The sequence below is a fragment of the Homo sapiens genome, chromosome 3 (genome assembly GCF_000001405.40).
Source record: "Homo sapiens chromosome 3, GRCh38.p14 Primary Assembly".
Lineage (NCBI taxonomy): Eukaryota > Metazoa > Chordata > Mammalia > Primates > Hominidae > Homo > Homo sapiens.
Genome location: NC_000003.12, coordinates 25582929 through 25595622, shown reverse-complemented (window position 1 = coordinate 25595622; position 12694 = coordinate 25582929). Strand labels below are relative to the sequence as shown.

The 12694-nt window shown below is 45.1% G+C and overlaps 1 protein-coding gene across 10 annotated transcripts in view; it reads right to left on the bottom strand.

Moving 5' to 3' along the window:
• Positions 1 to 12694, bottom strand: part of RARB (retinoic acid receptor beta) — a 768612-nt gene that overhangs the window by 2310 nt on the left and 753608 nt on the right. For 8 of the 10 annotated variants that reach the window (NR_110892.2, NM_001290216.3, NM_001290300.2 and 5 more), the window contains 2 exons: positions 1916 to 2120; positions 945 to 1103 (listed from right to left, as the gene is read on the bottom strand). Coding sequence is in view for 8 of the 10 variants with exons in the window: in NM_001290216.3 (NP_001277145.1) it covers positions 945 to 1103; positions 1916 to 2120 (364 nt within the window). In the remaining 2 variants the exon portion in view is untranslated. The remainder of the gene's footprint in view (positions 1 to 944; positions 1104 to 1915; positions 2121 to 12694) is intronic. The other 2 variants (NM_001290277.1, NR_110893.2) reach the window with 2 other exon arrangements.

Genomic DNA, 12694 nt, shown 5'->3' with positions numbered 1-12694 from the left:
TGCAGTAAATTCTATTAGATATCACTAGTCTAGTCATCTATACAGAATGATAGTATTATGTTAAACAGCCTCATTTTTAAAAATCAAAGATACCGTATTCACAACCACACTGGTATCTGCTGTTTACTTCTACTCTTAATTCCATGCAAGGATGAATTCAGAATGCTCATCTAGGAGACCTCTTAGAAGGAGCTCGAGTTAAGACTGCTTGTCAAACAAGTTCCCTGTGCTTTTAAGCACTTTCTGAAATACAGAGTTTATTCCTTGGCTAGCAAACATCTTCAGAGACAGAGTAAGTAGTCTGATGGGGAAAGGAGAATGACAATAGCCCATTTGGTACCAGGGATAGCTGCTGAGTTGTCTCTCTACATAGAAAAACCTTACTGTTAAACACTCAACTGTGATATGGATCTAGGCACCTCTATTAATTGCTTGAGTTGCTACATAAACAGAAAATCACTAGGCAAAGAATATACCTCTTAGGCAAGAATTCCTTTGCTTAGAAGTGTGCAGAAGAAAATCTGCCTATATACAAAAGAGCAATGGCTAAAGTGATTGAGAGAAACTTAACAAAGGTTTAGATATTCAAGAAAAACTGGAGTCAAGGTAACATAAACCAGAGATGTGTAGAAAGCTGGAATTAAATGTATGAACCTAGAGAATTAGCCTGTTTTAGTACATTCTCTTGAAAACAATGTTTTTCTAATCAGTCATGAATTTTAAAGCTCTCAATCGTTAAGATAATTGAATAGGGTAAGATTTGAGGTGTTTTTTTTTTTTTTTTAGAGGGGGGAGGGATAGTATTTCCTTTTGATTTCAATGAGAAATGAGTTCCAAGACTTTAAAAGCAGCCATTAAACATCCTGAATTGAATAAAGCAACACAACCTGGTAAGGCCCTCAAGTCCACTGTGTGACTACAGTACTGAGAGCACGAAGACATACCTTTAGCACTGATGCTACGGAGATCTGTGATTTTCATTAAGATCTTTGGAAACATGTGAGGCTTGCTGGGTCGTCTTTTTCTGATATAAATTTTTAGTGCTTCCAGCAATGGTTCTTGTAGCTTATCTACTTTTGTCGGTTCCTCAAGGTCCTGGCGGTCTGGATACCAGGAATAAAGTATTAAACAAAATCAGGATTTATGCCCTTTTCCCCTCTTCCTTGTTTCCTTATTCCTACTGTTATGAGTTCATTAATTTGGTAATTCAATTACATACACAAATTTGCAGACTTATGCAGTTGCTTTAAGCAGTGATACTTGAAAAACAAAAAAAAACTGCCCCCCCTTGGTAGTATAAACATTTTGATGCCTGGTTGCTTTTGTCCCAGGGAAAGAATTACCTCCTTTGACCAGAAGGTGTCACTACCAAACTGAATTAAAACAAATCTTGAGCAGGATGGTTATTTTAGCATAAAATAAATCTGCTCCTTAATTAAAACCATTACTTTTTAACCACTTACGATTCAGCCTCCTATAGGCCAGTAGGGGTCACTACAAAGAAGAAAGCTAAATTTTATCCCAGTCCTGCAAGGGTTGGTGGGAGGGCCCAGCCAAATACTTGTATGCCTACCCACTAGATAACAAACAGCACATACAAGTCCCTTGTCATCATTCAAATGTCCCCAGACAATTCATTTTATAATAGTGTGATCCTGCCTTTAAGAAAAAAAATCTGTGGCAATTGGAGTAATAGCTTTTTGGGATTTCTTTCTGAGCAGAAGGATCCCAAATACCATTAGTTAATTTGTAACAACATGGAAAAATACAATGAAACCAGGCATGTATGCCTGGCTTTATTCACATGTTTTCCCATGTAAAACAACTCCAAAAGGGAAATGAGGAATTTTTCACAAATTACAAGTATAAACTGTTCTTCATGGAATTTCATGAGGCTTTTCTACATAGTTGGTACCTCCACAGATTAAGCAGATGGCACTGAGAAGGCCTGTTTCTGTGTCATCCATTTCCAAAGGCAGGAGCTGGTTGGCAAAGGTGAACACAAGGTCAGTCAGAGGACCAAATCCAGCATTGTGCATCTGAGTTCGATTTAGGGTAAGGCCGTCTGAGAAAGTCATGGTGTCTTGTTCTGGGGTATACCTGGTGCAAATTCTAAGAATCTGGAAGGAAAAAAAAATTGATGGATGTTCTAAGCCATCCTGTCCTGAAATCATCAATCAGATGTAAGCAGGAAATAACATGAAGATTTCCAAGGAGCTCTTGGGGCAGTCTGTCCCCCTTTCACATGTTGAATGTCTTCTTTAGCTCTTTCATTAAGAGACTACAGAAGTCAAAACCCAGGGGCTAAAGTTTTTTAGGAAACACTAAACAGGACATAAGAAATTTTGAGAAATATCTTTTTAAAAGTAATTCATTACTTGACTCAAATAAACATTTACTGAGTGCCTAATTATGTCCCAGGCACTGTGCCAGGTGCTGGAGATAAAAAAAAAAAAAGATGAATAAGATTCTATTTTTTAAGAGCTTACAGTCTGCAATAAATGACAATTTATTAAATGCATAGTATATATCAAGTTTTGTACATACCCTACATTCAATCTTTCAAACAGCTTGGTAAAGTGAATATTATTCTTATTTTACAAATGAAGGACTTAAGGCTCAGAAAGGTTAGGTGATGTGCCCAATGTCACATAGTTAACATGTAACTGAATCTGACTCAAACCCAAGTTAGGCTCTCTCTCCCATGATGCCTCTGATCACACGGTTACACAGGCAGCTGTAATACAAGGGACATGAGTGAAACCAGCAAGGTACTAGGGAGTTCAGAAAAAGGAAAGCTCAGAAATAGCCAGGAGGAAATCAAGGGCAGATCCATAAAGAGGTAGCATTTCAACCGAACCCTAAAGTGTAGGCAGGATTTCTACAGGCAAAAAGCCTGAGTCACTCTGCCAGAGTCTCCCAGTCCCACCCAGTGTATGCTTGACACATAACCCTGTTGGCCCCCTGGGGCGCTAGCTACTAAGGAGACTCTTGCTCACTGCCCTGTGCCTCTAGGCCTCACTCAGAGCAAAACAAACTAAAAATGCCTTGCTTCTGTAGATACTCAATCCTGGTTCATGTTTCCACTGCCCTATTAAGCCTAAATGCTGGTAAGGAGCTCCGTGCATTGCAGAGCACTTCCCCACCCAGAACCACATTTCTGCACCGACAATAAAGGGTCTCTGCTGACCAGGTTTCCATACTTGACTTTTCTCTCTGAAAAAGTTTCAGAGCTGCTTGAAGCACAGAGAGAAGTAAATCCCACCTGGACAAAAGTGAATAACTCAGGAGGTTGAAGAAGTTGAAAGTTTTTCCCAGATAATGGCATTCAATTTGACTGGGTATAGTCCTGTGAATGTCCACCTCAGTGTCAACCTACAGGAGGGCAGATGTGATCAGAAAGGCCTGCATTATTCCTGTTACACAGCCATGTGCAGAGAGGAGTGGCCTCTGAGGAAGACACAGGACCTCTACCTAGGAGGAGTAGTAAAGCCCTCTCCATCCTGCCCATATTCCCATCAGGTCTCCTAAAAGAAAAACTTCTGTCAAATCTCTCATCTTGTCAGGGAAACACTGGGGGTTTGGGACCAGGACACTTCCCATGGGGAAGACAGTCCTATCTGACTGGTGGTGGATCCACAAGAGCCTCAAACCCACTGGACCACATGAACCATGATGGGACAGTTGTACTGCAATGGTCACATGCTTTTGGGTTCTCTAAATCTCCAAGAAGGCAGTGACCTAGGAGCCAGCCTTCTCCCTACACAAAGGACTCCAGCGTGGATAAGGAGGAAGGCACCAGGACATCCTATAGAGTGAGGGTGCAGCAGCGCCTCTGTTGTATATATTTTTAAAAGTCTGACTTCAGTGTCTTATTGGTTAAAACTCCGAGAGGAAAACTGAATGAGTAAGCCCTCTTCATCCCTAACATACAGTAATAGCTAATGTTTTATTGATCACCTACCAGGTACCATACTAAACACTAGTATATTATTTCTCCTATCAACCCATGAATTGTTACTATTAGCTGGGGAAACAAATCTGAATAGCTTATGCTAGGTCACATAAGCTAGTAGAATGATTTGATTTCAGCTTTTTCTAGAACCCATGGTTTTAACCATTGCTCCACAGCTGCCTCATTTTCTCTCCACGCCAATAGTCAAACCTAGACACCTCTCTAAGGTTAGATAATCTTTAGCCCAGTACTGATTTCGATATCGGCCTTACTGGGCACTTTTGTGCAGCACATAACTGCATAACTATTCACGTTGGCCTGCCTGCTGTAGAGGGGTGCAGAGCTTGTGGCCTGGAAACAGAAACTTCGTTTTATATTGGGAGGGGTGGTAGAGAGATATCTAAATCAGGACATGTCCTCAAACTTCTTAATGTTCCTACTATATGATCAAGTGGCATAGTGAATTAGCAATTGATCATTAATGTGAGTAGTTCTCAAAACACTACCATGATCTCTCTTCATTTGATGGGTCGTTATTTTCACCTCCCAGATACTTGCCCAGGGGCCTTTCTGAGCTAGCCCAGCCATTTCCACTGGTTTCCCAACTGGTTGACCTGTTTCACTTCATCTTGGTAACTGATGGGGTATGAAGCCATTCCCAATGTCACAGCAGTAAGAAAACCCAGAGGTCATTGGGCATAAAGCCTCACATTTCCCCTGAAAGTGGGAAGTAAAGTGTGGTGCCCAAGGTCACACAAGCAATGGTGCTAGAGCCTAGAATACAGGCCTTCCAATCCCCAGCCTGATGTTCCTTCAACTACCTGGAGAAACATTAGGAAATACTGTCTGTGCAGGGAGTTATCAAGTGACAGTCAAAGTTAGCACTTTGGGAGGGCAAGGCGGATAGATCATCTGCAGTCAGGAACTCGAGACCAGCCTGGCCCACACGGTGAAATCTGTCCCTACCAAAAAGTACAAAAATTAGCCAGGCCTGGTGAAGCGCACCTGTAGTCCCATCTGCTGGGCAGGCTGAGGTTGGAGAATCTCTTGAACTGGGAGGGGGAGGTTGCAGTGAGCTGGGATCACGCCACTGCACTTCAGCCTGGGTGACAGAGTGAGACCCTGTCTCAACAACCACCACCACAACAACAAAGTTAGTATGCTCAATATTTATGGGCCCCAAATCCTGGGATACGTTTCTAGTCTGGAATCAAATGGGTACTAAATAAATCTTTGCAGCTTTAACATGCCGCCAAGAAATGAATGCATGAGATCTGTCCCCTGCAAAAAATGAAAGAATCCAGAGATTTGTCGGAAAGGAACAAAAGACCAGGATTTAGGACATTGCAAATTGCCAATAACTCACTTAGAAATCCATATCCAAACTGCAGCCCTCAAATGTTTCTAACTATTCTATTCGAAAAGGTTTTCTTCCTCAAAAGTTAGAATGTATTTGGATTCTGATGAGTCATTTAAACTATGTTCTGTTGCCTCTCTTCCTAGAAAGTTCAAAGCCGAAACCAAGTACAACTGGTACATCCAGAGAGGGAACGCACATGGCCTGAGAAGGAAGACTGCTCAATGTCTTCTTTTATCTGAGGAGCCTCCCTTCCCTGCCCCGGCCCCAGCCTGAAACAGGATGGCCCCCATGTGAAACAGGCATCCTTCTCACTGCTTCCGGCTGGTTCTGTCTCTGGAGAGAACCCAAGTCGTTTCATTTTGTCACACTAAAATCAAATGCCAGTGGCAACCACCAAGTACTTCTCCAGGATTAAAACACTCTTTGTTTGAAAGGAAGGCATCTTATCTGGAAAGACCGGCATGCAGGCCCCACGAGATGGGTAAAAATAGCCTAGGCCAGGCTGTCTCACCAACCAAAGCAGGGCCCTGTTGGACAACACAAAGCTCCAGTTGATGGTCAAAGTTGATCCTCCTCAGGGCAAAAAGAGCCTTCTCTTCTTGCCATCAGCAAAGACAACTGTGCATCTCTCTATTGCTTTTGATGGGAGTGTGTGTTCAGTGTGTGTCCTGGGGGAGGCCCACTTGTTAATGGAACCCTGGAAGAATCTGATGATGTGGGACCCCAGAGGCAGAGCCAGGGACTTGTCCACCAAGCTGCCATCACCTCTCTTACGGTGAGGGCCTCTGAAGTGATCCTTCATTTCTATTCCTGCTCGAGTACTATGCGGTCAATCCACAGCAGCCAGAGCATGTTGTCCAAAATGTTCATCAGAGGAGAAAACTCCTCAAATGGCTTCTAGTCACCTTCAGAATAAAATCCAAACTTCTTTCTGTGGCCTCAGTGGCCTCTCCCTACCTTGCCAACTTTAACTACTCCTCCTTTCCTTTGCTCATGAACTTCTGGCCATCTTGGTCTTCTTTGTGAAGCTTCGATGACTCACTGCTGAGGCAAAGTGTTTGCACTTGCTTTTCCCTCTGGCTTCAGTGCTTTTCCCTGATCTTCACATGGCTCTTTTCTCAGAGTTCAGCTTAAATGTCACCTCCTCTAAAGCCTCAGTGAAAATGCTTCCTAAAACCCATTATTTTCTATCCCACCACCCTTTTGGTTTTTGGAATAAGAAATAACATTGTTTTAAAACTGAGGTATAACGTGTGGTGGTTTAAAAATATGTGTGCAAATTCTTTGATCCTACTCCCTTTAAGGGGTGGAGCTTAATTCCTCTCCCCTTGAGTGTGGCCTGGACTTAATGATTTGCTTTTAACAAATAGAATATGGTGAAAGTGATGGTGTGTGACTTCTGAAACTAGGTCACAAAAAGCATTGTCACTTCCTTCTTGCTTGCTGTCTCTTGAATCTCTTGCTCTGGGGAAGCTAGCTGACATTTCAAGAGGACAGTTAACCAGCCCCACGGACAGGTCCACAGAGGAAGAAACTGAGTCCTCCCATCAATAACCAGCACTAAATTCCTAGACAAATGTGATGAGCGATTGTGGAGGCGGAGAGCTTCCAGCCTCTGGAATTCTTTAGATGACTGCAGCTCTGGCCGGGGTCTTGATTGCTATTTCATGACAGATACCGAGCCAGAACCACCCAATGAAGTCAGTACCAGATTCCTGACCCACTGTGACTACGGGAGATAATAATGCTTATGTTTTAAGCTGCTAAGTTTTGTGGTATTTTGTTACACTGCAATAGATAATGAATATAGCACACATGCCTGGAGCTGCACACAAATCTCGAGTACAGCTTAAGGCATTCTCCCTAACCATGTATCTGTGCAACTACTACCTAGATCAAGATATGAATATTTCCAGCACCTACCGGCTCCTTTGACTTCTCCTAATCAAACCTCTTCCTCAGAAGTAACCATTATTTGACCTATATTCCTACAAGTTAGTTTTGCAAGTTCTTGAACTTCAGATCAATGGAATCATACAGAATATTCTCTTTTGTGTCCGCTTTTATTCACTCAATATTCTCTGTGTGATTCACCCATATGAGTGTACACAGCAATAGTTCATTCTTTTTCACTGCTGTGTAGTATTTCACAATGCAAACCACCACCCTGTTTTCTTTTCTTCATAGCAGTTGTCACCATCTGAGTTTCCTGGCCTATCTCCCTTCTAGAATATGAGCTCTGAGAATGAGACCGCTCTTTACCTGTCTTGCTCTCTGTTGTGTCTTTAATATCTAGAACAATGTCCTCCATACAGCAGGTGGTTAATGAATATTTATTGAATGAATAAACTGAATTCCTTCATCAGACTCTCTTCTATCTTGTAAACCTCAGAGGGAGGCATCAAGGGGTTGCCCAGTTTTCAGGCAAAGGAGAAAGCTCAGGTTGCTCAACCATCTTGGTCACTCTACACTGATTGTGTTTGGCAACATGTGGGCAGATCCTGATCTGATTCGACAATTTATCCCCATATGCCTGTGGGAATGTTTAGGTAGTGATACTAGTAACAATGTTTAAGTGGTGATACTAATAACAAAGACACACGCAGCGCATATAGTGCCTGTTGTGATGAGCTCATGGGAACAAAATGTTTTCCCCAATGGGACCTGTAGCCAGCCTGCCTTAACCGAGGAGAAAATACAGATGTTAGAAGCAGCAGGAGTTCCTTGTTACCGTTACTGTCTCTGTTTTGCAGACCAGTACTCTAGCAGCCATTGTTTTGCAATGTTAAGAGAAATAGATGGAATTATTTTAATAATCTATTTTAACTTAAGATATCCAAATTATTTTTGTTTCAACATGTAATCAATACAAAAAAATCATTAAGGAGATATTATACATGTTTAAATACTAAGTCTTTAAAAGACTGTTTATTTTGCAATACACACTTCACACCAGGCACATTTCAAGGTGCTCATGAGCCACAGCTGCCTCGCAGCTGCTGAACTAGACAGCACAGCCCCAGGTGCTATTGCCTAGCAGCTCAGACACCACACTTCATAAAGGCAGCCTAGGCTTACTCAAGACTGATGATTACAGCTTATTTAAAGGAACACTTACTATGTGCCAGGAACTAATTAACTCAATTCTTTATTCCAGCAACCTGAATGGGGAGGAGCTACTATTCTACTTATTCAATTGGTGAGGAAACTGAGGCTTAGAGAGGTCAGTTAGCTTCCCTAAGTTCACTCAGCTCCTAAATGGCAGAGCTGGGATTTGAATCCAGGGAGTTGGACTGCAAAGCCCACCCTCTTAACCGCTACACTGGCTACCCCACAGCAATTCCTGGTGCCTCATGGGGTAATCGTGCCACATCTACAGGTGGGTAAGCTGAGGCTAGGAGAGACCCAGGGCCTCCTCGTGATGGCACAGACGCCCAGGCGCAACGCTGAAGCCTGAGCTCAGGCTGTGGGTCTTTAAGCCCAGAGCTCGCTCCCCACCAGCCTGGGCTCTTGTCTCTACTGAGTCCCCAGGAAGGGGAGAGGGAGGGACAGGTTCACATGGGAACGGCCCTCCATGGCTATACAGCTGCACAGTCTCCAGGGCGTCAAGGAGCCACAAATCACATTTTGAAGTCACACAGGCCGTCACTTTTGCGTCACCAGAAGGAGGGTGCTGCTGTGACTGGCATGGGAATATTTTCCTTGGGGGCAGTAAGGGCAGTGGGTGGCAGGACTCAGGAAGCCGTGTGTCTTGTAGGGAAAGACATTAAATCTTGAAGCCTTAACAGGCGTGATATTCCAAAAGCAGCATATATGCTGGGATTTGAATTTTGACTTTTAATTCATTTGCTCATTCATCCATTCACAAATATTCACTAAATCCCCCTTTCGAGCCTGGAACCCTGCCACGGCGACCAACCCTAAGATGGTTCCTACTCTCACTGAGACAACAGACTGGGGGAGAAGCTTTTGGGAAATGCACCTGTCATTACGCTATGCCTTAAGAGCTTGGGACAGACCTGCAGTGTGAGGGAGGAATCGGGTGGCTGGTCGGAGAAGGCTTTTCTGAAGAGATGGCATTTCAGCTGAGATGAGGAATAGGCCAGGAAGAACATGAGGAGAAGAGGGTGGGTAACCTAGACAGACGGAATGGGATGTAAAAAGGCTCTGAGTCAGGAAAGAGCTTGACTGAGGCTCGAGGCAGTGCCACGAGGTGATATAGCAGAGAGAGGCGCCCTTGTGAGTTGGGCCAGATGGGCGGCTAGAATTTCCAGTCAAGCTCTTCAACCCCGCCTGGCCTGCCCCCAGTTTTACAACAGTATTTACCTCCTTCACCCATCCTGCCCACCCAGTCCTGGCTCCACACTGACCCTGCTCCCCTTCAGCTTGCCCAACCTGTTGAATGTGGGCTCTGAAGGCAGCTTGCCTGGGTTCAACATCTGGCTCCACTGTTTACTAGCTGCGCGACCTGGGGAAAGTCACTTCCCCTCTCTGAGCTTCCTCCTGTGTTGACAAATACAATCAGTCCCGCTTCTGAAGTTCCAGCTTTGAGAAACATAGGCAGTGGCTCTTTTACAAGGGCAACCCCGGCAGAGGCAAGATGGCATGAGCCCCTGTCCAGGAAGGAAGGACCCTCTCGCTGCTTCTGCTGAGTGGCCTGGTTGCACCACCCACGCATCACTGTGGCATACCAGCTTTCCCCATCATTTGCCCACGGGGCTGATATGAAAACCCTGTCTTCAGAATCACAAGTGAATCATTATCCCTTGCTGTGTTCCCACATGGTTTAATTTCATTGTAAAAAATACAGCACTTAATGAATTCTCCACCACAGTCTTTAAACAAACCCTGGCAAAGCAAGTCATTTTCTCATCCGAAAATTTGTTCAAGGTTTTCTATTTTGCAAAAGCAATTTTGCCCTCCTTTATCCAGAGGCTGGAAACTCTTCCAGGGAGCTCTATGGGTCTTTGCCTTCCCCTTGGGCCTCAGCTGCCTCACCTGCAAAATGTGGACAATAACAGGACCCCTGAGGGCATAGTGCGACTTAACAATAATACCGAACATAACTGAGGCCTGTAGGGTGCCACACACTGTTCCAAGCTCTACGTGCTACTTCATTTCATGCTTTCTAGAGCCTGAAAGGAAGCTTCTATTGCCATCTTCATTGTAAATACGAGGCAACTGAGGCTCAGAGAGGGAAGTAACTTTCCCAAGGTCACACAGCTAGTAAGCAGCAGAGCCAGATTTTGAACCCAGGCAAGCTAGTTTCAGAGCCCACATTCAACAGCTGGGGCAAGCTGAAGGAAAGCAGGATCTATGTGGAGCCAGGATTGCGTGCAGTGGGGTGGGGGCGGAGGGTGAGGGGAGGAGATAAATACTGTGGCAAAAGTAGGGGCAGGCCAGGCGGGGTTGGAGTTGACTGTAGAGTCCAACAGGGCAGGGACCCTCCACTCTGCCATCTCACATCCACGAGGTAAGTGCTCAGTAAATACATGTGAGAATCATGACTTCAACCAATATTGACGCAGTGCTACATGACAAGACAGAGCAAACGTTTAAACCAAAAGTCAGACCGTGGTACACCTCTGCTCAAAACCCAGTGACTCTATAGGATACCAAGAAGGAGAATCTGTGCACGATCACAGGCCCCACTCCAGGATCTAAGGTCTCGCCCCCGCTGGCTCACTCCCTTCCAGGCACACTCACTTCCTCCAACCTGCCGGGGCTTCCTCTGCCCCAGGGCCTTTGAACTCCACTCTCTCTAGGCTCCCCACGACTCACACACCCCTCCCATCAGTGTCTTTTCTTGGGCCTGGCTCTTTCTGGGAAACACTGGGAAATTGTTTCTTCATTCAGGTTTCTTCAAATGCCACCTGTGTCTGAGCTACAGAAACAAGCCCCAGCCCTCCTTTGTTGTGCTCCATCCCTGATTCTGCTTCTGTTCTCCTCTGTTGCATGTAAGACGCTGTCTAATCCACGTATCTGCTTGCTTACTGTCTGTGTCCCCCCACCAGGAGAAGGTCGGCTCCATGAGGGCTGGGGTTTTAGCTTGGTTCCCTCTGCTGCCTCCTCAGAGCCTAGAATAGTGCGCGGCACACAGTAGGTCATCAACAGATATTTGCGGAAGGAAGAAGAGAAGGATGGGAGGGAGGGAAGAGGGGTGGAGGGAGAGAAGAGGCAGAGAAACCGAAGTCTGACCACCTCAAGGTTTGTTTTTACGATTTTTATTTTAAGTTGAGAGAGACTTGATCCTAATTACGTGCAGAGGAGAAGAGGCAGGTGAGAGAGAGTGGAAGAAAAGGCATAAAGGAGATTGAACGAGAAGGAAACATGGGGGCAGAGCCAGGTGAAGGGGTCACTCCTGCTCCGGGGCTCCCTCACTTGCCTGAACACAGCCCTAGGATGCTACCAACTCTTGAGTGAAGAAAGAAACATAAAAAACCCATCTGCAGTGGTTATGAAGAGGCTGCCTGTCTTAATAGAGACATTTTTGGCTACTTGGCTCCTGTGGGAAAACATGAAACTCAAAGTGTGGCCTCAGAATCTTCTGGACCCAACCTCGTGAAGGAAGCCCGGCTGTGGGCTGCCCACTAAATGGTCCCCACCGAGCAAAGGCTAGGATGGGAAATTCCCCTGGAAGGTGAGCAAGGGCAGGACAGGTGAGGCCTTCCATCCCCATCTGCCTGTATTATGAGGGCTCTCACCTCATGATTCTGAATCAACCCTTCCTGGAGAGCCTCGGCTGCGTGTCCCGCAGCTGACCGCATCTTCCTGTGAAAGTGCCAGCCCTGGCAGGCGTGCAGTTGGAAGCATTACCTTGTCTTGTTGAGAGACCACACACAACACGAGACACGTGGCTCTGAACAGGCGGTACTCAATCAGGGCTGGTGACCCTTGAGACAGCCTGGGTTTCCTTTCTAGGGTCTGAGAATAACCTCAGCCTGGGTCTGTCTGTCTGTCCATCCGCCTGGTTACTCTGTCCCACTCTATCCATATATCAATGACTTAGATAAGAAGATTCTTCTAAACAGCTCTGCCAGTTAATATTCTCATTCAAAATATGCTCTTTGAACTTGCGTACTTTCAGGATCTTGTGATTAATTGCCTTTGCTACAAATTCTTGGAAACAAGCTCTTGCCTAGGGCCAAATGGGTATTCCTTCGAACTTTGTCTGGTATGATTGGAGGTCTTTGCCCTTTAACTATCGGGACATTTTCCTCCCTGGCCTATTGCACCCCAACCCAGACTCCTCACCCCCATGGCCCAGGAAGGAGTGGTTGAAAGTTTCCTGATTCCCACCACAGGGCTGAAATTGCCCACGTTAACCCAGCTTTGGCCTTGTCATCAACATCATTGGCTAAGTACCTACTACGTGCTAG